This window comes from Homo sapiens, chromosome 19 (genome assembly GCF_000001405.40).
Source record: "Homo sapiens chromosome 19, GRCh38.p14 Primary Assembly".
NCBI lineage: Eukaryota > Metazoa > Chordata > Mammalia > Primates > Hominidae > Homo > Homo sapiens.
The window spans coordinates 44931589-44954492 of NC_000019.10; the positions used below are offsets into that span (position 1 = coordinate 44931589).

Consider the following 22904-nt stretch of genomic DNA (forward strand, 5'->3'; position numbering starts at 1 on the left):
ACTCCTCACAAGCCCTCCAATGCCCCATCTACTTGCCCTGTGCTAAGGATGTTTTAACTCTATGGTCTCAAAAGAATCTTCCTAAGAACCTTGCAAACTGGGACTTAATAATCCCATAAGGGCATTGAGGCCCAGAGAGGTGAGGCTACTTGTATAAGGTCACACAGCCAGGAAGTGGAGAACTGGAACTAGATTGAACCCTCAGCCAGGCAATGTCACTATGCTACACTTTTCCTAGTGTGGTCTACCCGAGATGAGGGGCTGAGGTTTTTTGTTTTGTTTTGTTTTGTTTTGAAACAGAGTTTCGCTCCTCTTGCCCAGGCTGGAGTACAATGGCACCATCTCAGTTCACTGCAACCTCCGCCTCCCAGGTTCAAGGGAGTCTCCTGCCTCAGCCTCCCAAGTAGCTGGGATTGCAGGTGCGTGCCACCATGCCTGGTTAATTTTTGTATTTTTAGTAGAGACGAGGTTTCTCCATGTTGATCAGGCTGGTCTTGAACTCCTGACTTCACATGATCTGCCTGCCATGGCCTCCCAAAGTGCAGGGATTACAGGCATGAGCCACCTCGCCTGGCCTTTTTTTTTTTTTCTTGAGACAGAGTCTCACTCTGTACCCCAGGCTGGAGTGCAGGGGCATGATCTCGGCTCACTGCAACCTCCGCCTCCTGGGTTCAACAGATTCTCCTGCCTTAGCCTCCCTAGTATCTGGGATTACAGGTGTGTGCCACCACACCCAGCTAATTTTTGTATTTTTAGTAGAGACAGCATTTTATCGTGCTGGCCAGTCTGGTCTCCAACTCCTGGATTCAAGCAGTCCTCCTGCCTTGGCCTCCCAAAGTGGTGGGATTACAGGCGTGAGCCACTGTGCCCAGCTCTTACGTAAAATTAAACCACATGCACATGCAAAACAACCCTATGTAAAAAAAAAATTTTTTTTGAGATGGAGTCTGGCTCTGTCACCCAGGCTGAAGTGCAATGATGCGATCTCCACTCACTGCAACCTCTGCCTCCCAAATTCAAGTGATTTTTTTGCCTTAGCCTCCTAAGTAGCTGGGATTACAGGCATGTGCCACCACACCTGGCTACTTTTGTTGTATTTTTAGTAGAGACAGAGTTTCACCATGTTGGCCAGGCTAGTCTCGAACTCCTGACATCAAGTGATCCGCCCGCCTTGGCATCCCAAAGTGTTGGGACTACAGGTGTGAGCCACTGCGCCCAGCTTAAGATTGCATAAGAACAATATTTGAAAGCCATATATCTAATAAGGGGTTAATATTCAAAATATATAAGGGACTCCTACAATGCGAGTGGGAACACCAAACACTGCAGCCACTGTGGAAAACAGTATGGGGTTTCCTCAAAACATTAAAAATAGAACTACCAAATGATCCTGCAATCTCATTTCTGGGTATTTATTCAAAAGAATTGAAATCAGGACCTTGAAGAGATACCTGCCCTCCCATGTTCACTGCAGGTCTGCTTAATACCCAAGATATGGAAACAACCTAAATGTTTATCAACAGATGAATGGGTCAAGGAAATGTGGTCTATACGTGCAATGGAATGTAAAGCATCCTTAAAAAGGAAACCCTGAGGCCGGGCTCTGTGGCTCACACATGTTATCCCAGCACTTTCGGAGGTCGAGGCAGGAGGATCACTTGAGGCCAGGAGTTGGAGACCATCCTGGCCAACATGGTGAAACCCCGTATCTACTAAAAATACAAAAAAAATCAGCCAGGCATGGTGGCGGGTGCCTGTAAACCCAGCTACTCAAGAGGCTGAGGCAGGAGAATCACTGGAACCCAGGAGGCGGAGGCTGCACTGAGCAGAGATCGTGCCGTTGCACTCCAGCCTGGGCGACAAGAACAAAACTCCATCTCAAAAAATAAAAAAAGGAACTCCTGAAGCCAGGCTCGGTGGCTCCCACCTGTAATCCCAGCACTTTGGGATGCCAAGGCAGGAGGATCACTCGAGGCCAGGAGTTGGAGACTATCCTGTCCAACATGGTGAAACCCTATCTCTACTAAAAATGCAAACATTAGCCAGGCATGGTGGCGTGTGCCTGTAATCCCAGCTACTTGGGAGGCTGAGGCGTGAGAATAGCTTGAACCAGGAGGTAGAGACTGCAGTGAGCTGAGATCATGCCACTGCACTCCAGCCTGGGCGTCAGAGCAAGACTCCATCTCAAAACATAAAAGGAAATCCTGGGCCGAGCGCAGTGACTCACGCCTGTAATCCCAGCACTTTGGGAGGCCGAGGCAGGTGGATCACAAGGTCAGGAGATCGAGACCATCCTGGCTAACATGGTGAAACACTGTCTCTACTAAAAATACAAAAAATTAGCTGGGCATGGTGGCGGGCGCCTATAGTCCCAGCTATTCGGGAGGCTGAGGCAGGAGAATGGCGTGAACCCGGGAGGCAGAGCTTGCAGTGAGCCAATATTGCGCCATGCATTCCAGCCTGGATGACAGAGTGAGACTGTGTCTCAGGAGAAAAAAAAAAAAAAAAAAGGAAATCCTGAACCTGGGCATAGTGTCTTATGCCTGTAATCCCAGCACTTTGGAAGGCTGAGATGGGAGGATCAGTTGAGGTCAGGAGTTCAAGACCAGCCTGGGTAACATGGTGAGACACCGTCTCTACCAAAAAAAGAAGAAAGAAAGAGAATAAATAAATTATAAATATTACTCTCTGGGGTTAATGCATTCCCTTCTCCCCCAAAATCAACCCTCCAAACTCCTATACTCTCCTTTCTTCTCACTCAGCAGCCTGTTAGAACTCAAGTCAGATTTTTTGTTTTTTTGTTTTTTGAGGCGGAGTCTCACTCTGTTGCCCAGGCTGGAGTACAGTGGCACCATCTCAGTCCACTGCAACCTCTGCCTCCCAGGTTCAAGCGATTCTCCTGCTCAGCCTCCCAATTAGCTGGGACTACAGGTGTGTGTGTGTCACCACACCCAGCTAATTTTTGTATTTGTAGTAGAGACGGGGTTTCACCATGTTGCCCAGGCTGGTCTCAAACTGCCCAGCTCTAGCGATCTACCCTCCTCGGCCTCCCAAAGTGCTGGGGTTACAGGCATGAGCCACCGTGCCCAGCCTCAAGTCAGATTATGCTCTTCCTCTGCTCAGAACTCTCCTGATTCTCTCAGAGCAAACCCAGAAGAACTTACCAAAGGCCTACAAACAGGACACTACCCGGTTCACGATCGCCTCATCCCTCTCTCTCCATCACTCACAAGCAACTCCTTGCTATTCCTCCAATGTACTGGGCAGGTTCCCACCTCAGGGCCCTTGCAGTTACTGTTCCTCTTGCCTGGAATGTTCTTCCCCAGGGGTCCAGATATCTGCCTGGCTCCCTCCTCACTTCCTCCAGTTCTCTTCCAAAATCATCCCCTGCCAGACATAGTGGCACACTCCTGTAATCCTAACCTTTGAGAGGCCAAGATGGGAGGATTGCTTCAGCTCAGAGGTTCAAGACCAGCCTGGGCAACATAGCAAGACCCCATCCCTCCTAAAAAAAATTAGCTGGGCATGGTGGTGCACACTTGTGGTTCCAGCCACTTGGGAGGCTGAGGTAGGAGGATGGCTTTGAATCAGGGAGGTTGAGGCTGCAGTGAGCCATGTTCCAAATTAGATAGTGGTGATTGTGCAACCTTGCCAATATAGGAAAAACCATTGAACTGTACACTTTAAAAGGGTAAATTTAGCAGGACGCGGTGGCTCACGCCTGTAATCCCAGCACTTTGGGAGTCCGAGGCGGGCAGATCACTTGAGCTCAAGAGTTCGAAACCAACCTGACCAACATGGTGAAACTCCATCTTTACGAAAAATTAAAAAATTAGCCAGGCGTGGTGGCAAGTGCCTGTAGTCTCAGCTACTTGGGACGCTGAGGCGGGAGAATTTCTTGAACCTGCGGGGCAGAGGCTACAGTGAGCTGAGATTGCCCCACTGCACTCCAGCCTGGGCAACAGAGTGAGACTCCATCTCAAAAAAAAAAAAAAAAAAAAAGAAAAAGAAAAAAGGGTAAATTTTATGGAATGTGAATTATAACTCAATTTTTCAACATGCATTAGGAGGGACATTTCAAACCCTTTTTTACCCCAGCCTTCCCTGCAATCACCCAGAGTATCCAGCCAGGAGGGGAGTGGCTAGAGACACCAGAAGATTAGCAGGGAGGAGGGTGCAGGGTTTCGGGGGATGAGGGGATGGGATTCAGACCAGGGTAAGGATCCAGGGGTAGAGAGAAAGATTTGAGAGTGGTTTTGGGGCTTGGTGACTTAGAGAACAGAGTTGCAGGCTCTGTTTTTGGGCCCGCCCTGCCCCCTTCCGACCTCTTAGTTCCTATCCTCCAGCAGCTGTTTGTGTGCTGCCTCTGAAGTCCACCCTGAATGACCTTCAGCCTGTTCCCGTCCCTGATATGGGCAAACATTGCAAGCAGCAAACAGCAAACACATAGCCCTCCCTGCGTGCTGACCTTGGAGCTGCGGCAGAGGTCAGAGACCTCTCAGGGCCCATACCACTTCCAACATCCCCTTGATCTCTTGGATTTTGGTGGAGAGGGGCAGAGGTTGTCCTGGCCTGGTTAGGTAGTGTGAGAGGGTCCCGGTTCAAAACCACCACTTGCTGGTTGAGGAGTCGTCAGTAAGTGGCTGCGCCCCCACCCTGAGGCTTGTTTCTCCATCTGTACAATGGAAATGATGAAGATGCCCACCTGATAGGGTTTTTGTGGCAAATAAGTAAGTAGTTTTTTTGTTTTTCTTTTTCTTTTTTTTTTTTTTTTTTTGAGATGGAGTCTCACTCTGTCACCAGGCTGGAGCGCAGTGGCGTGATCTCGGCTCACTGCCAACTCCACCTCCCGGGTTCAAGCGATTCTCCTGCCTCAGCCTCTGAGTAGCTAGGACTACAGGCGCCCGCCACCACACCCAGCTAATTTTTGCATTTTTAGTAGAGATGGGGTTTCACCATGTTGGCCAGGATGGTCTCAATCTCTTGACCTTGTGATCCACCTGCCTCGGCCTCCCAAAGTGCTGGGATTACAGGCATGAGCCACCACGCCCAGCTCCCCCACCTTTTTTTTTTTTTGAGATGGAAAGCTCTGTCACCCAGGCTAGAGTGCATTGAGCCATCTTGGCTCTCTGCAACTTCTGCCTCCCGGGTTCAAGCAATTCTCCTGCCTCAGGCTCCCAAGTAGCTGGGATTACAGGCGCCCACAACCATGCCTGGCTAATTTTTGTATTTTTAGTGGAGACAGAGTTTCACTATATTGGCCAGGCTGATCTCGAACTCCTGACCTCAAGTGATCTGCCTGTGTCAGCCTCCCAAAGTGCTGTGATTACAGGCATGAGCCACCATGCCCCACCGCAATTAAGTAAAGTAATCATCTAAAAGCCCTGCCATGGTTCCTGCCACACAGTGTGTGCTGGGGAAGCGCGCACGAATTAAACAGTAGCTGGCGTTGACGGGGCACCTATGCGGCATTTTCTGTGCACGATCTTTACTCTCCCTGGCAACCCTATGAGGTAGATAGTCCATGACTCCCATTCATGGATGAAGAAACAGGCCCACACAGGTAAAGCAACTTGTACCAGGTCATACCGCTAGAAAGATGTAGAGTCAGCCACGCGCGGTGGCTCATGCCTATAATCCCAGCACTTTCGGAGGCTGAGGCGGGATGATCACTTGAGGTCAGGGGTTCGTAACCAGCCTGGCCAACATGGTGAAACCCCGTCTCTACTAAAAATACAAAAATTAGCTGGGCGTGGTGGCGGACGCCTGTAATCCCAGCTACTCAGGAGGCTGAGGCAGAAGAATTGCTTGAACCCGGGAGACAGAGGTTGCAGTGAGCTGAGATCACGTCACTGCACTCCAGCCTGGGTGACTGAGCAAGACTCCATCTCAAAAAGAAAAAAAAACAGGCCAGGAGCAGTGGCTTACACCTGTAATCCCAGCACTTTGGGAGGCCAAGGCGTGTGGATTGCCTGAGGTCAGGAGTTCAAGACCAGCCTGGCCAACGTGGTGAAACCCTGTCTATACTAAAAATGCAAAAATTAGCTGGGTGTGGTGGCAGGCGCCTGTAGTCCCAGCTACTCGGGAGGCTCAGGTAGGAGAATTGCTTGAACCCAGGAGATGGAGGTTGCAGTGAGCCGAGATCGCGCCACTGCACTCCAACATGGGCAATAGAGCAAGACTCCATCTCAAAAAACAAAGAAGGGAGGGAGGGAAGGAAAGAAAGGAAAAGAAGCAACAGGTAGAGTCAGGCTCTGAACCCCACACCAATCATAACACAACACACAGTAGGTTTGTTTTTGTTTTTTATTTTGGGCTTTTGTTTGTTGTGGAGACAGCGTCACCCAGGCTGTAATGCAATGGTACAATCATAGCTCACTGTAGCCCTGAACTCCTAGACTCAAACAATCCTCCCACCTCGGCCTCCTGAGTAGCTGGGACTACAGGGGCATGCCACCACGCCTAGCTAAATTTTTTTTTTTTATTTTTAGTAGAGATGAGGTCTCCCTATGTTGCCCAGATTAGTGTCTTAACTCCTGGGCTCAGGTGATCCTGCCACCAGGGATTACAGGCACGAGCCACCATGCTGGCCCTTGTTTTTTGTTGTTTTTTTTTTTTTTTTTTGAGACGGAGTCTCGCTTTGTCGCCCAGGCTGGAGTGCAGTGGCGGGATCTCGGCTCACTGCAAGCTCCGCCTCCCGGGTTCACGCCATTCTCCTGCCTCAGCCTCCCAAGTAGCTGGGACTACAGGCGCCCGCCACTATGACCGGCTAATTTTTTTGTATTTTTAGTAGAGACGGGGTTTCACCGTTTTAGCCGGGATGGTCTCGATCTCCTGACCTCGTGATCCGCCCGCCTCGGCCTCCCAAAGTGCTGGGATTACAGGCGTGAGCCACCGCGCCCGGCCTGTTTTTTTTTTTTTTTTTGAGACTGAGTCTCGCACTGTCGCCCAGGCTGGAGTGCAGTGGCGCGATCTCGGCTCACTGCAACCTCCACCTTCCAGGTTCAAGCAATTCTCCTGCCTCAGCCTCCTGAGTAGCTGAGATTACAGGTGCCCACCACGATGCCCAGCTAACTTTTTTTTTTTTTTTGGTATTTTTAGTAGAGACGGGGGTTTCACCATGTTGGTCAGGCTGGTCTCGAACTCCTGACCTCGTGATCCGCCCGCCTTGGCCTCCCAAAGTGATGGGATTACAGGCGTGAGCCACCGTGCCCAGCTTTTTTTTTTTTTTTTTAAGAGACGGGGTCTTACTATGTTGCCCAGGCTGGACTCTCAAACTCCTGGGCTCAAGGAATCCTTCTACCACAGCTTTCTGAGTAGCTGGGGCTACAAGCCCCTGCCACAGTACCTGGCTGTTTTTGTTTTTTTATAATTGTGGTAAAATATAAACAACATGGCCGGGTGTGGTGGCTCACGCCTGTAATCTCAACACTCTGGGAGGTTGAGGTGGGAGGATTACTTGAACCCAGGAGTTCAAGACCAGTCTGGGCAACTTGGCAAAACTGTGTTTCTACAAAAAATAAAAATATTAGCTGGGCAGCCAGGCGCAGTGGCTCATGCCTGCAATCCCAGCACTTTGGGAGGCTGAGGTGGATGGATCACCTGAGAGGTCAGGAGTTTGAGACCACCCTGGCCAACATGGTGAAAACCTGTCTCTTTAAAAATACAAAAAAATGAGCCAGCCATGGTGGCTCACGCCTGTAATCCCAGCACTTTGAGAGGCCAAGGCAGGTGGATCACCTGAGGTCAGGAGTTCAAGACCAACCTGGCCAACATTGTGAAACCCCGTCTCTACTAAAAATACAAAAAATTAGCTGGGCATGGTGGCAGGCGCTTATAATTCCAGCTACTAAGGAGGCTGAGGCCGGAGAATCGCTTGAACCCGGGAGGCGGAGGTTGCAGTGAGTCAAGATCGCACCATTGCACTCCAGCCTGGGCAACAAGAGCGAAACTATGTCTCAAATACATACATACATACAAAAAATTAGCCGGGTGTGGTTGCCGCACACCTGTAATCCCAGCTACGCGGGAGGCTGAAGCAGGAGAATCGCTGGAACCCGGGAGGCAGAGGTTGCAGTGAGCCAAGATCACACCATTGCACTCTATCCTGGGTGACGGAGTGAGACTCTGCCTCAAAAAAAAAAAAAAAAAAAAAAAAACTTAACCATTGCAGCCATTTTTAGGTGTACAGTTCAGTGGCATTAAGTACATTCACACTGTTGTGCAACCATCCCCACTATTTGCAGGATGTCTTCGTCATCCCAAACAGAAACTCTGGGTGTTTTCAATCTGCTGATGATTGCTACAGAGGAATTCCAGGGGACATCTGTTGCGCACCTACTGTGCTCACGCTGGGGCCTCTGGGATGGACAGGATTCTGCCAAGGCAGACATCTGGGTCAAGACAGTCCTGCACAGTTGTTCAGGTTGTGGCCAAGGTTGCGTTTGCAGATTTGCCATGTAAAAATACAGGATGCTCAGTTACATTTGAATTTCAGATTAATAGCAAAAAAAACTTTTTGGTATAATTCTGAAATATTTCATGGGACATATTTATACTAAAACGTCATGCACTGTTGATTTGAAATTCAAATGTAATTGGGCCTCCTCTATTTCGTCTGGCAAGCGTAGACAAAAGAATCCAGTCCAGGCCAGGCGCAGTGGCTCAAGCCTGTAATCCCAGCACTTTGGGAGGCCGAGGCGGGCGGATCACGAGGTCAGGAGATCGAGACCATCCTGGCTAACACGGTGAAACCCCGTCTCTACTAAAAATACAAAAAATTAGCTGGGCGTGGTGGCGGGTGCCTGTAGTCCCAGCTACTCGGGAGGCTGAGGCAGGAGAATGGCGTGAACCTGGGAGGCGGAGCTTGCAGTGAGCCGAGATCGCGCCACAGCACTCCAGCCTGGGCGACAGAGCCAGACTCTGTCTCAAAAAAAAAAAAAAGAATCCAGTCCATAGTCCCCTGAGCCATGTGCCCTGGGGTGCAGCTGGGTCCTTCAGGAGAAAAATGCTCTATTTCTGGCACTGGGACCGAGCCTGATGTGGGTTTTTTGTTGGTTTTTGTTGTTGTTATTGTTTTTGAGACAAGGTCTCGCTCCACCACACCCGGCTAATTTTTGTATTTTTAGTAGAGACGGGGTTTCACTACGTTGGCCAGGCTGGTCTTGAACTCCTGACCTCAAGTGAGCCGCCTGCCTCGGCCTCCCAAAGTGCTGGGATTACAGGTGGGAGCCACCGCCCTGGCCCTGGGCCTGATGTTGATGACCTCCTACTATGTGCACCTGCAGCTCTCCTGCATAGGCCTCAGCCGTCCTGCATGAGGACACTGGGAGGCAGGTGCTCCCTATCAACCCCGTGTTACAGTTGAACAAACTGAGCCCCAGAAAAGAAAACGTATTTGCCCAGGTCACACGGTGAAGAAGTGAGGGATTCGAAGCCCAGGTCCATCTGAAGCCAGAGTCACCCAGAGGAGAAAGAGTTGGAATTGAGAACTCAAGGAATGCTTGGAAGTGATCGGGCTCGAGCCCACCTAGGAAGAAACAGAGGCTGGAGACATGAGACTGTGTTGCTATTTCCTCTCATCAACCCTTGGGCCCTATTGAGGCCCTACCACAAGCCTGGCCCTGCAGCCCAGTGACTAGGAGAAATTAGACACAAGATAATAATAACAGCAATGATCTTTTTTTTTTTTCTGAGACGGAGTCTTGCTCTTTCGCCCAGGCTGGACTGCAGTGGCGCGATCTCGGCTCAATGCAAGCTCCACCTCCCAGGTTCACGCCATTCTCCTGCCTCAGCCTCCCGAGTAGCTAGGACTACAGGCGCCTGCCACCACGCCTGGCTAATTTTTCATATTTTTAGTAGAGATGGGGTTTCACCGTGTTAGCCAAGATGGTCTCAATCTCCTGACCTCGTGATCCGCCTGCCTCGGCCTCCCAAAGTGTTGGGGTTACAGGCATGAGCCACCGCGCCTGGCCAACAGCAATGATCTTTGAGCACCTATATTGCCAGTCTCCACGGTAAGAGCTTTCTTCATTTTTTGTTTTGTTTTGTTTCAAGACAGAGTCTTGCTCTGTCACCCAGGCTGGAGTGCAGTGGTGTGATCGCGGCTCACTGCAGCCTTCACTTCCCGGGTTCAAGCCATTCTCCTGCCTCAGCCTCCCAAGTAGCTGGGATTACAGGCACGCATCACTACTTCTGGCTAATTTTTGTATTTTTAGTAGGGACAGGGTTTTTCACCATGTTGGCCAGGTTGGTCTCAAACTCCTGGCCTCATATGATCTGCCCACCTCGGCCTCCCAAAGTGCTGGGATTACAGGCGTGAGCCACTGCGCCTTTCTTTGTATTTGTTCAAGTAATATACTGAAATATGTACTGTGCCTCCCACTTTATGGAGGAGGAAACTGAGGCCAGCAAATGAGGCTGTCATGGGAGGTGGAGACAGGATTTGAACCTGCCTCAGTGCAGGAGGCTCAAGAGCCTCTGTCTTCTCTCAGGGCACTGTGTGGGAGGGTGAGAAGGAGGGAGGCCCACAGAGGCATGACCTCTGATTGCCACTGTCACCTGGGCCCTGCTCTCTGAAGTCTCTGCCAAGCGGGGAGGTGGCCGGGGGAGGGCCCTGCTCTGTGCAGCCTCCCCTCCCCCGGCCCGCAGAGTTGAGCACAGAGGGACAGAGGCACGGAACCCCCAGAAATGTCCCTCCTCAGAAACAGGCTCCAGGCCCTGCCTGCCCTGTGCCTCTGCGTGCTGGTCCTGGCCTGCATTGGGGGTGAGAAGAAGTGGGTGGAGGGATGTGGGGCCCACACCTGGTGGGTGTGAGTGTGGCTGTGTGTCCTGTGGCTCTGTAGCCACGTGAGACATGAGTACGGAGTGTGTGCGTTTCATGGCGTGCGTATGCATGTGCGTGTCGGGGAGTGTGTGTGTCGGTGGCTGAGAGTGAAGTGTGAATGTCACATTGGTACAAACTGGGATCATCTGTGTGTGTGCACGTGCGTGCGTGGAAGTGGGAGTATGCAGTCGTGGTAAAAAAGTGCATGTCTGTGTGCATATGTGTATTTGTGTGCACCTGTCTCTCTGTGGGGTATGTGTGTGCAAAATATTTGAGTGTGTGGACATGTGTGAGGGGGTGAGTGTGTGCTGGTGTGTACGTCTGTGTTTTGCATATGCATTTTTTTTTTTTTTTTTGAGACGGAGTCTCACTCTGTCACCCAGGCTGGAGTGCAGTGGTAGCAGTGGTGCGATCTTGGCTCACTGCATCATCCGCCTACCCGTTTCAAGGGATTCTCCTGCCTCAGTCTTCAGAGTATTTGGGACTACAGACACACGCCACCATGCCTGGCTAATTTTTTTTTTTTGAGACGGAGTCTCGCTCTGTTACCCAGGCTGGAGTGCAGTGGCGTGATCTTGGCTCACTGCAACGTCCGCCTCCCGGGTTCACGCCATTCTCCTGCCTCAGCCTCCCGAGTAGCTGGGACTACAGGAGCCCACCACCACGCCTGGCTAATTTTTTGTATTTTTACTAGAGACGGGGTTTCGCCGTGTTAGCCAGGATGGTCTCCATATCCTGACCTCGTGATCCGCCTGCCTCGGCCTTCCAAAGTGCTAGGATTATAGGCGTGAGCCACTGCGCCTGGCCAATGCCTGGCTAATTTTTTTATATTTTTGGTAGAGACAGGGTTTTGCCATGTTGCCCAGGCTGGTCTTGAAATCCTGACCTCAGGTGATCCGCCCGCCTTGGCCTCCCAAAGTGCTGGGATTACAGGCATGAGCCACCACGCCCGGCCATGTACTTTATGTTAAAATGGGATCATATTCTAGATCAGCATTATCCAGTAGAAATTTAAATTTTTAATACAGGGCCAGGCACGGTGGCTCATGCCTGTAATCCCAGCACTTTCGGAGGCCGAGGCGGGTGGATCGCAAGGTCAGGAGATTTGAGATCATCCTGGCTAACAGATGGGTAAAAACCCATCTCTACTAAAAATACAAAAAATTAGCCATGCATGGTGGCATGCGCCTGTAGTCCCAGCTACTCGGGAGGCTGAGGCCGGAGAATCACTTGAACCCGGGAGGCAGAGGTTGCAGTGAGCCGAGATCGCGCCACTGCATTCCAACCTGGGTGACAGAGCGAGACTCCGTCTGAAAAAAAAAAAAAATTTAACACGTATGTAGACAATGTGCAAGGCACCATTCCATGTGCATCGTATGTAGTAACTCTTAATTCTCACGATAACCCTGAGGTAGATATTATTACCCCGTTCTACAAAAGGAGAAACAGTCCTGGGGAGACAGGATAAGTCACCGGCCAAGGCACACAGCTAGCTACATGTGGCCCCCGCGTGACGGCTGGTCTCTGTAGGCGAGGCTTTGTCCAGATGCGTGGGTAGAAGGTCTGGCCCGGAAAGAGGAACTGACAGCAAGGCTAAGCCAATGTCTGCCCCTGGGGGCAGAAAGTCACCTCCTGCTCTCCCTCCACTGTCCACAGAGGTAGCTCAGACAGGGTGGGGGTCACAGGAGAACGAAGGGAGAAGGGGGTAGTTCCTGGGCAGCAAAATCAGGTGGTGAAGGGAGGCATCAGAGGATGGCAATTAGAGAGGCCATTAGAGGGGAACCACAGGCAGACAGGGTGACAGGAGGGACTACTGACACAAGGTGAAGAGATGGCCCAGCCGGACGGGGTGGCTCACATCTGTAATCCCAGCATTTTGGGAGCCCGAGGTGGGTGGATCACTTGAGGTCAGGAGTTCGAGGCCCCAACATGGCAAAACCCCATCTCTTCTAAAAATACAAAAATTAGCCGGGCATGATGGCAGATGCCTGTAATCCCTGCTACTCGGGAGGCTGAGGCAGGAAAATTGCCTGAATCCAGGAGGTGGAGGTTGCAATGAGACGAGATCATGACACTGCACTCCACCCTGGGCAACAGAGCAAGAGACTGACTCTGTCTCATAAAAAAAAAGAAAAAAGAAAAAAAAAAAGAGATGGCTGATGGTTAAAGAGGGGTTAGCGGTCAGGGGACACATAAGGGTAAAGGCAGGAGGCAAGAGGACTGGCAGGGGGCTGCCCCTGGGCCACCGGGAGCGACACAGGATGAGCATGGAGGGAAAGGGAGAAGGGGATTCTAGGGTCCCAGCCTACCCAAGTTGCCCTCTGGTTCCACCTAGCATGCCAGCCAGAGGCCCAGGAAGGAACCCTGAGCCCCCCACCAAAGCTAAAGATGAGTCGCTGGAGCCTGGTGAGGGGCAGGATGAAGGAGCTGCTGGAGACAGTGGTGAACAGGACCAGAGACGGGTGGCAATGGTTCTGGTGAGGGTGTGCTGGGCTGGGTGGTGGGAGGGGACTCCTGGGTCTGAGGGAGGAGGGGCTGGGGCCTGGACCCCTGAGTCTCAGGGAGGAGGAAAGGGTGGGAGTGGGGCTGTGACCCCTAGGTCTGGGAGGAGTGGAGGGTTAGAGCTGAGAGCAGGAACTCCTAGGTCACAGAGAGGAGCGGATAAATGGGGCAGAGAACACCTGGGGAGAGCTGGGGCCTCCACTGTGATGTCCTCTCTCCTGTAGGAGCCCGAGCACCTTCCGGGGCTTCATGCAGACCTACTATGACGACCACCTGAGGGACCTGGGTCCGCTCACCAAGGCCTGGTTCCTCGAATCCAAAGACAGCCTCTTGAAGAAGACCCACAGCCTGTGCCCCAGGCTTGTCTGTGGGGACAAGGACCAGGGTTAAAATGTTCATAAAAGCCAGGTGTGGTTGTGGCGGGTGCCTGTAGTCCCAGCTACTCAGGAGGCTGAGGTAGGATGATGGCTTGAGCCCAGGAGTTCGAGACCAGCCTGGGCAACACAGCGAGATCTCTTGGGGGTAAAACAAAAAGAAAAAAAAAAGTTCATACTTCTCCAATAAATAAAGTCTCACCTGTGTCCCTGTCTGGATCCTTCCCCAGTGTGGCCAGAAAAAAACCCACCCCACTGCCTCCCAGGAATCAATGAGTAGAAGAGGTGACACCTGATGGGGAAGGAAGAGTAGGGAGGTCGGGAAGGGTATCAAGGAATAACACCCTATTGTGGGCTTGCGGAGAATGGGGGACTTCAAGGCGTGTCAGTTTCAGGAGGGTGAGGGCAGGAGCGTGGGTGGAGTCAGCAGGTCCCCATGATGGCCCTCACTGAGAGCTTCGCCCTTGTCTCCTACAAGCTCTGACTCCATTCCCAGTGGGCACCCAGCACCTCCAACCCCTCCACAGCCCCCAACCCAGCCTCTGTCGGAGGCGAATTCTCAGAGTGAGGGTTCCCTGTCACTTGAGAGAAGGTTCCCTGTGACGTGACCTTGGGGGACGTCATTGCCCTTTCTGTCCCCACCCACCCCCTCCGCAGTTCTGTTGGCCAGGACTTTGGCCTAGACAAAGGATGGGGGTTGTGGCTGTGGAGCGGAAGTGGGTCTCAACCACTATAAATCCTCTCTGTGCCCGTCCGGAGCTGGTGAGGACAGCCTGCCAGAGTCTGGTAAGAAAGGGACTCAGGGTGCGGGGACAGGGGGGCGTCAGCAGGGAGAGGGCAAAGATCGATAAAGCAGGAATTTTAAGAGGCACAATATTAGAAGCCCGTGTTGGAACCATGACTGTGTGTGTGTGTGTGTGTGTGTGTGTGTGTGTGTGTGTGTGTGAGAGAGAGAGAGAGGGAGATGGAGTCTCGCTATGTAGCCCAGGCTAGACTCAAACTCCTGGGCTCAAGCAATCCTCCTGCCTCAGCCTCCCCAGTAGCTGGGACTACAGGTGCACCACCACACTCCACAAATCACAGAATTTAGAACTGTAGACTATTTGAGCTTCTGCTTAGAGTTAGGGTGGCTGAGGTGGGGAGGATCCCTTGAGCCCAGGAGTTTGAGGATGCAGTGAGCTGTGATCTTGCCACCGTGTTCCAGCCTGGGTGACAGAGAAACCCCATTTCTAAAAAAGAGAAAGAAAAAGGGATAGGTACAATGGCTCATGCCTGTAATCCCAGCACTCTGGGAGGCCGAGGCGGGTGGATCACTTGAGGTCAGGAGTTCGACACCAGCCTTACCAGCATGGTGAAACCGCATCTATACTAAAAATACAAAAATTGGCCGGGTGTGGTAGCATATGCCTGTAATCCCAGCTATTCCAGAGGCTGAGACAGGAGAATTGCTTGAACCCAGGAAGCGGAGGTTGCAGTGAGCCCAGATCGTGCCACTGTACTCTAGCCTGGGTGACAGAGCAAGACTCAGTCTTGGCGGAAAAAAAGAATGAAAAAATTTAAAAAACTAAAAAAGAACTGTAGGCTGGGCGTGGTGGCTTACACTTGTAATCCAAACGCTTTGGGAGGCCAAGGCAAACGGATCACTTGATGTCAGGAGTTGGAGACCAGCCTGGCCAACATGGTGAAACCCCGTCTCTACTAAAAATACAAAAATTAGACAGGCATGGTGGTGCATGCTTGTATTTCCAGTTACTCAGGAGGCTGAGGCAGGAGAATCGCTCGAACCCGGAAGACAGAGGTTGCGGTGAGCCAAAATTGCGCCATCGCACTCCAGCCTGGGCGAGAGAACAAGACCTTGTCTTGGAAAAAAAAAAAGAATTGTAGACCATTTGCTTGTGTTCTTTCTCCGGGGATCAGATCTCACCCTCTTTCTGCCGTACTTCCTCATCTCCTACGTGTGGATGATGATATTGTGCCCTGTGCATGTTCTTCGTCACCAAAAGTGCCTCTCTCATAGAGCAGGTGAGAACTCAGTGAGGAGATGCAGGGACATGAGGTCTGACTTAGGGCAGAGCCCTAAGGTAACACATTTGATCTACTGTAGGTCCTTAATGGTGTCTGCAGAGCACCTCCCTGCACTGACTCAGCCTTAGCAAAGGGCAGAGGCTTTGCTGTGTTCCCTGCTGGGCCCAGAACTGTTTAGGTGCTCAAGAAAGCCTTCTAGGCTGGGCTCAGTGGCTCACACCTGTACTCCCAGCACCCTGGGGAGGCCGAGATGGGAGGATCGCTTGAGCCCAGGAGTTCCAGACCAGCCTGGGCAACAAAACAAGTCTCCCATCTCTACAAAAGAATAAAAATTAGCAGCTGGGCATGGTGGCTCATGCCTGTAATTCCAGCACTTTGGGAGGCCAAGGCAGGCAAATCACTTGAGGTTAGGAGTTCAAGACCAGCCTGGCCAACATGGTGAAACCCCATCTCTACTAAAAATACAAAAATCAGGTGGGGCACAGTGGCTCAAGCCTGTAATCCTAGCACTTTGGGAGGCCAAGGTGGGCGGATCACGAGGTCAGAAGTTCGAGACCAGCCTGGCCAGCATGGTGAAACCCCATCTCTACTAAAAATACAAAATATTAGCCGGGCATGGTGGCAGGTGCTTGTGATTCCAGCTCCTTGGGAGGCTGAGGCAGAAGAATTGCTAGAACCCTGGAGGCAGAGGTTGCAGTGAGCCGAGAACACGCCACTGCACTCCAGCCTGGGTGACAGAGCGAGACTCCATCTCAAAAAATACGAAAACAAAAATCAGCCGGGTGGTGGCGGGTGCCTGTAATCCCAGCTACTGGGGAGGCTGAGGCAGGAGAATTGCTTGAACCTGGGAGGTGGGGGTTGCAGTGAGCCAAGATTGCACCACTGCACTCCAGCCTGGGCAACAGAGTGAGATTCCATCTCAAAAAAGAAAAAAATAATAATTAAAATGTTAAAATCAGGAGTAGAATCACAGAATGTTGGAAAGTGAGGCCCAAGAAGGGGGCTGTGTCCAAGTCCATGCATGGGAAACTTGACTGGGACACCGAGCTCACACAGAGCAGGATCTCAGTCCCCCCCACCAGAGTGGGGCGTGACCACAGGAACAGCCGCCTCCAGTCAGCCTGCCACATGACACCCCCTCAATGTTCCAGGTCTCTGGACACTATGGGCACACGACTCCTCCCAGCTCTGTTTCTTGTCCTCCTGGTATTGGGATTTGGTGAGTGTGGGCTTCCGGGGAGGGAAGCCTTGGGGAGGGGAATGAGCTCCAAGCATCTTCCCAGCCCAGGCCCTTCTTACCTCTGCCTCTGCCCTCTCCTCTTCTTCCTTCCTCCTTTCCCCCTGCTGCAGCCCCACGGGCTCTCCTGACACACTCTCCCCCTGCAGAGGTCCAGGGGACCCAACAGCCCCAGCAAGATGAGATGCCTAGCCCGACCTTCCTCACCCAGGTGAAGGAATCTCTCTCCAGTTACTGGGAGTCAGCAAAGACAGCCGCCCAGAACCTGTACGAGAAGACATACCTGCCCGCTGTAGATGAGAAACTCAGGTAGCACCTGCCCCTGGAGAAATGGGGTCTGGCCCATACCACCGACTGCATCCAGGACCCAGAAGTTCAGGCCCCAGCCCCTCCTCCCTCAGACCCAGGAGTCCAGGCCTCAGCCCCTCCTCCCTCAGACCCAGGAGTCCAGGCCCCCAGCCCGTCCTCCCTCAGACCCAGGAGTCCAGGCCCCCAGCCCCTCCTCCCTCAGACCCAGGAGTCCAGGTCCCCAGACCCTCCTCCCTCAGACCCAGGAGTCCAGGCCCCCAGCCCCTCCTCCCTCTAACCATCTGTGCTTTCTCCCCAGGGACTTGTACAGCAAAAGCACAGCAGCCATGAGCACTTACACAGGCATTTTTACTGACCAAGTTCTTTCTGTGCTGAAGGGAGAGGAGTAACAGCCAGACCCCCCATCAGTGGACAAGGGGAGAGTCCCCTACTCCCCTGATCCCCCAGGTTCAGACTGAGCTCCCCCTTCCCAGTAGCTCTTGCATCCTCCTCCCAACTCTAGCCTGAATTCTTTTCAATAAAAAATACAATTCAAGTTGCTTCTCATGGATGGCACTGCTTTTCTGAGGACTCAAGGGCCAAGATGGAGGGGCTGACTCAGTCCAGCCAACATTTAATGAGCACCTACTTTATGTATGGAGCTCTAACCCATGGGTCCATGGGAATAAAGCAGTGAATAGTAACAATAAATAATCGTAACAGCAATTAGAGACTAATCTTTATTGAAGTCCGGCTTTCTCTCTTTTATTTTTTTATTTTTTGAGACAGGGTTTCACTCTGTCACCCAGGCTGGACAGCAGTGGTGCAATCTCGGCTCACTGCACCCTCCGCCTCCCAGGTTCCAGCGATTCTGTGTGCCTCAGCCTCTGGAGTAGCTGGGATTATGGGCATGTGCCACTGTGCACGGCTAATGTTTGTATTTTTAGTAGGGTTTTGCCAGTTGGCTAGGCTGGTCTCAAACTTCTGACCTCAAGTGATCCACCCGCCTCAGCCTCCCAAAGTACTGGGGTGACAGGCATGAGCCACCGCGCCATGCCAAAATCCAGCCTTCTCATTTGTAAAATAACAAATCATAGACACAGCTAGTCCACAGTGGCCTCTGACAGTCTCCAGTTGTTAACGGTGAATGGTGTCCAGGTTTTTGGCGTCCTGAACAAAGAACTGGACAAAACGCACAAACAAAGCAAGGAAGGAATGAAGGGATTTATTGAAAACGAACATACACTAAACAGTGTGGGAGCGGGCCCAAGCATATGGGTTCAAAAGCCCTGTTACAGAATTTTTGGGAGTTTAAATTCCCCCTAGAGGATTCCCCTTCCACTGGTTACTTCTGGTACACCCTATGTAAATGGAGAGGATGAAGAAAAGTTACAAAGTCATTTATGGCCTACCGGAGAGGATGTTTCCTGTTATAGCTGAAGTGAATTGGCCTTATGTTCCCTGCCTCCCTATTTTCCTGCCTTACAGTTGCTGGACTGACACATTTTTTATTTTATTTATTTTGTTTTGAGATAAGGTCTTGCTCTGTCGCCCAGGCTGAAGTGCAGTGGTGAGATCTTGGCTTACTGTAGCCTTGACCTTTTGGGCTCAAGAGATCCTCCCATCTCAGCCTCCCAAGTAGTTGGGACTAGGGATGCCCACTGCCACACCTGGCTAATTTTTTGTATTTTTAGTAGAGACGGGGTTTCGTCAAGTTGCCTAGGCTAGTCTCCAATTCCTGGGCTCAAGCGATCTGCCCACCTTGCCCTTCCAAAGTGTTGGGATTACGGGTGTGAACCACCGCACCAGGCCTGGGCTGACACTTTAAACGTGCCATTGCAATCAGTGTATAATGGTCCCGTGGCAGAGGGAGAATGGTGCCCAAGTCAGTACTTCTTGGCTGGGACCCAAGAAGACAAACCTCTAGGGCCGGCGTGGTGGCTCACGCCTGTAATCCCAGCACTTTGGTTGGCTGAGGTGGGCAGATCATCTGAGGTCAGGAGTTCAAGACCAGCCTGGCCAACATGGTGAAACCTTGTCTCTAATAAAAACACAAAAATTAGCTAGGGGTGGCCCGCGCCTGTAATCCCAGTTACCTGGAGGCTGAGGCAGGAGAATTGCTTGTACCCTGGAGGCGGAGATAGTGCCACTGCACTCCAGCCTGGGCAGCAGAGTGAGACTCCGTCTCTAAAAAAAAAAAAGAAAAACTTATTAAAAAAAAATTGCAAGCAAAAAGCACAGAAGGCAGAAGGTGCAAATAAGCAGAGGCTCCATGGTCTGAAGGAGGCCAGTGCTGGGACCATGAATGAAGGGGGCTGGGGGCCAAGATTCCTGTATCCTGAGGGAGTCCAGGGTGGTACTGCTCCCCAAGTCCCATGGGTGGGGCTATTGGTCTCTGGGGATCCACTGCTTGTATTTCTCCTAATCTGCTTGGCATTAACCTCCTGCCAGGCTTTCAACACCCTTGGGGCAGTTTTCCCAGGTCCTGAGGCTGGGCAGCTGAGTCCAGTAAAAAACAGGGGCCCTGGAGAGGGACTGTGGGCAATGCCCCCGAGTCCCCGGGGCCTGGGAAGAACAGAGGCTGCCAAGTGCAGGGGGTGGTGGGGAGGGGAAGACCCTGGAGTAACAATCCCTGCTGTGTCCACTTGGTTCCCACGGACTCAAGCCAAGCCAAAGCACTGCCCGGACCAGTTCGGCTTCCAACCAATCCTGGTGCTGGCCTCAGACTCCTCCTTTCTTTCTCAGAACCCCATTCCCCTCAGGGCCCCCAGAGTCCAGGCCCCTAGATTCTTCTTCCCCTAGAACTCAGGAGTCTGGGACCCCCCAGTCCCTTCTCCTCAGGACCTAGAAGGTTGGATCCCCAGCCCCCTTTCTCCCTTAGAACCTGAAATCACAGCCCTTGATCAGTATTTTGCGCCCCCTAGTGGAGAGAAGAGTGGGTCTGTCCTGTGACTTACATACAGCAGGAATGGCAGAATTTTTTACTTATTATGATTTTTAATTTCTTTAGAGACAGGGTCTCACTCTGTCACCCAGGCTGGAGTGCAGTAATGTGATCACAGCTAATTGCAACCTCGAACGAACTCCTGGGCTCCGGCATCCCTCCCACCTCAGCCTCAGAGTAGCTGGACCACAGGTGGATGCCACCACACCACCTAATTTTGTTAATTTTTAGTAGAGCTAGGATCTCGCTATGTCACCAAGGCTGGTCTTAAACTCCTAGGCTCAAGCGATCCTTCTGCCTCAGCCTCCCAGAGTGCTAGGATTACAGGCATGAGCCACGAAGCCTGGACGGAATGGCAGAATTTATTTGGTCACTCCACAGAGCATAGGAAGGCTCTGCAGGGAACCTGCCTCCACAGGAGCCCTGTCCAAGGTCACACTTCTCATGAGAAGCTTAGACCTCATCATGCTCCAACACATTGGCCCTTGCAGTGTATGAGACTTGGAGAGCAGATTGCAGCAGTTTGTATTTATAGCTGAGAGCGCAGTTGGGGTTGCAGTGAGGCTGGAGAAAGTTTCAAAGCCCCTCACTTGCCTGGGCTTTCCATGGTCCTCTACCTAAATTTGTACAAGTCATTTTGTACTTTTTTTTTTTCAAGACAGAGTCTCCCTTTTCTTGCCCAGGCTGGAGTGCGATGGCATGATCTCGGCTCACCACAACCTCCGCTTCCCAGGTTCAAGCGATTCTCCTGCCTTGGCCTCCCAAGTAGCTGGGATTACAGGCATGTACCACCATGCCCAGCTAATTTTGTACTTTTAGTAGAGATGGGGTTTCTCCATTTTGGTCAGGCTGGTCTCGAACTCCCGACCTCAGGTGATCCACCAGCCTCTGCCTCCCAAAGTGCTGGGATTACAGTGTGAGCCACCACACCCAGCCAATTTTGTACTTTTTAAAAGAGGCCAGGCCAGGCGCGGTGGCTCATGCCTGTACTCCCAGCACTTTGGGAGACAGAGGCAGGCGGATCACGAGGTCAGGAGATCAAGACCATCCTGGCTAACACGGTGAAACCCCGTCTCTACTAAAAATACAAAAAATTAGCTGGGCGTGGTGGTGGGCGCCTGTAGTCCCAGCTACTCCGGAGGCTGAGACAGGAGAATGGTGTGAACCCAGGAGGCGGAGCTTGCATTGAGCTGAGATCATGCCACTGCACTCCAGCCTGGGTGACAGAGCAAGACTCCATCTCAAAAAAAAAAAAAAAAAGAGGCCCACAAAACACATAAGCTTCAGACCCCACAAAGTCTCTCCTCAATCCCTGTCTTAGTCTATTCACTTCATCCCTGGACTTAAAAGACTGGGCCTACACATTCAAAGAATCGTTATTAACACCATTATTGTCTGTAACAGTGAGGATGAGGCACTGAGTTTTCTTTTTCTTTTCTTTCTTCTTTTTTGGAGGTGGAGTCTTGCTCTGTTGCCCAGGCCGGAATTCAGTGGCATGATCTTGGCTCACTGCAACCTCTGCCTCCCGGGTTCAAGCAATTCTCCTGCCTCAGCCTCCCGAGTAGCTGGAGTTACAGACGTCCGCCACCATGCCCGGCTAATTTTTGTATTTTTAGTAGAGACGGGGTTTCACAATGTTGGCCAGGCTGGTCTTGAACTCCCGACCTCAGGTGATCCGCCTGCCTCGGCCTCCCAAAGTGCTGGGATTACAGGCGTGAGCCACCGCGCCTGGCTGAGGAGCGAAGTTTTCTAAGGTTCCTTCTTGTCCTGTGTTAGCCCTCAGAGAGGTAAGTCACTCACCTTCTGCACCTAGAGAGCCTCATCCCCAGGGCAATCATCCCCAGGGCAGTGCTGGAGATACAGCAGTGACCACAACAGTCCCAGGTCAGCCTGCCCAGTTGGGGAGACACACCCATCCCTGACAGTGATGACACAAAGTGAGCAGGGATGGGGTGGAGGAGCTGAGGGGGCAAGGGAGGATAGGAAAAGGGCTCAGAGAGAGTTTCCTAGAGCGAGAGCTACTGTTACAGGGCTGAGACCTAGAGGAAAGTGGAGGAAACCGATAATAAAATGATAATTATATATTCAGAATATCCCAATGCAAAGCTTACTCTTTTTCCAGGTAATATATAAGGTTCATAATCACAGCGCTCCAAATATTGACCACTTAAGCATGAGGCCCAGGGCCTGATGTTTTCCATTCGCCATCTAACTACGTCTTCCCAATAACACAGCGGGGCAAAACGGGAAGACGAAGAACGAGTACGATTATATCCCTGGTTTATAAAAGGGGAGAAACTGAGGCTCAAACATAGATGTCACTTGTCACCAGCCTGGCCAACACGGTGAAACTCCGTCTCTACTTACAAAAAAAAAAAAAAAATGGGAGGCTGACGCAGGAGAATTGCTTGAATCCGGGAGGCAGAGGTTGCAGTGAGCCGAGATCGCGCCACTGCACTCCAGCCTGGGTGACAGAGCGAGACTCCGTCTCAAAAAAAAAAAAAAAATTAGCCAGGAGTGGTGGCGTGCTCCTGTAATCCCAGCTACTCGGGAGGCCGAGGATGCAGTGAGCCGAGGTTGCAGTGAGCCGAGATCGCGCCATTGCACTCCAGCCTGGGGGAGAGTGAGGCTCCGTCTAAAAAAGAAAAAAAAAGAGAGAGAGAGACGTCACTTGTCCAGGATATCTTATCCAGTCAGTAGCACCACAAG

At 51.7% G+C, this 22904-nt stretch overlaps 2 protein-coding genes and 1 long non-coding RNA gene across 3 annotated transcripts; all 3 read left to right on the forward strand.

Annotated features, from left to right (window-relative positions):
* On the forward strand, nucleotides 10649-13908 carry APOC4 (apolipoprotein C4). Its single transcript, NM_001646.3, has 3 exons — nucleotides 10649-10765; nucleotides 13161-13302; nucleotides 13552-13908. Exons 1-3 carry the CDS (start codon nucleotides 10690-10692, stop codon nucleotides 13715-13717), a joined length of 384 nt encoding a protein of 127 aa, NP_001637.1. The 5' UTR covers nucleotides 10649-10689; the 3' UTR covers nucleotides 13718-13908.
* APOC4-APOC2 (APOC4-APOC2 readthrough (NMD candidate)) lies at nucleotides 10650-17977 on the forward strand. The gene is made up of 6 exons (NR_037932.1): nucleotides 10650-10765; nucleotides 13161-13302; nucleotides 13552-14487; nucleotides 16878-16945; nucleotides 17113-17272; nucleotides 17571-17977. It is a non-coding gene; the product is annotated as an APOC4-APOC2 readthrough (NMD candidate) (long non-coding RNA).
* APOC2 (apolipoprotein C2) lies at nucleotides 14463-17977 on the forward strand. Its single transcript, NM_000483.5, has 4 exons — nucleotides 14463-14487; nucleotides 16878-16945; nucleotides 17113-17272; nucleotides 17571-17977. The coding sequence occupies exons 2-4, from the start codon at nucleotides 16891-16893 to the stop codon at nucleotides 17659-17661; spliced, it is 306 nt and encodes a 101-aa protein (NP_000474.2). The 5' UTR covers nucleotides 14463-14487; nucleotides 16878-16890; the 3' UTR covers nucleotides 17662-17977.

What these genes read in the sequence shown, in the direction of transcription:
- APOC4 (NM_001646.3), top strand. Translation starts at nt 10,690, where the DNA reads ATGTCCCTCCTCAGAAACAGGCTCCAGGCCCTGCCTGCCCTGTGCCTC. An exon ending in GGTCCTGGCCTGCATTGGGG is followed by an intron (nt 10,766 to 13,160) that starts GTGAGAAGAAGT and finishes GGTTCCACCTAG; the next exon opens with CATGCCAGCCAGAGGCCCAG. An exon ending in GACGGGTGGCAATGGTTCTG is followed by an intron (nt 13,303 to 13,551) that starts GTGAGGGTGTGC and finishes TCTCTCCTGTAG; the next exon opens with GAGCCCGAGCACCTTCCGGG.
- APOC2 (NM_000483.5), top strand. Translation starts at nt 16,891, where the DNA reads ATGGGCACACGACTCCTCCCAGCTCTGTTTCTTGTCCTCCTGGTATTG. An exon ending in CCTCCTGGTATTGGGATTTG is followed by an intron (nt 16,946 to 17,112) that starts GTGAGTGTGGGC and finishes CTCCCCCTGCAG; the next exon opens with AGGTCCAGGGGACCCAACAG. An exon ending in GCTGTAGATGAGAAACTCAG is followed by an intron (nt 17,273 to 17,570) that starts GTAGCACCTGCC and finishes CTTTCTCCCCAG; the next exon opens with GGACTTGTACAGCAAAAGCA.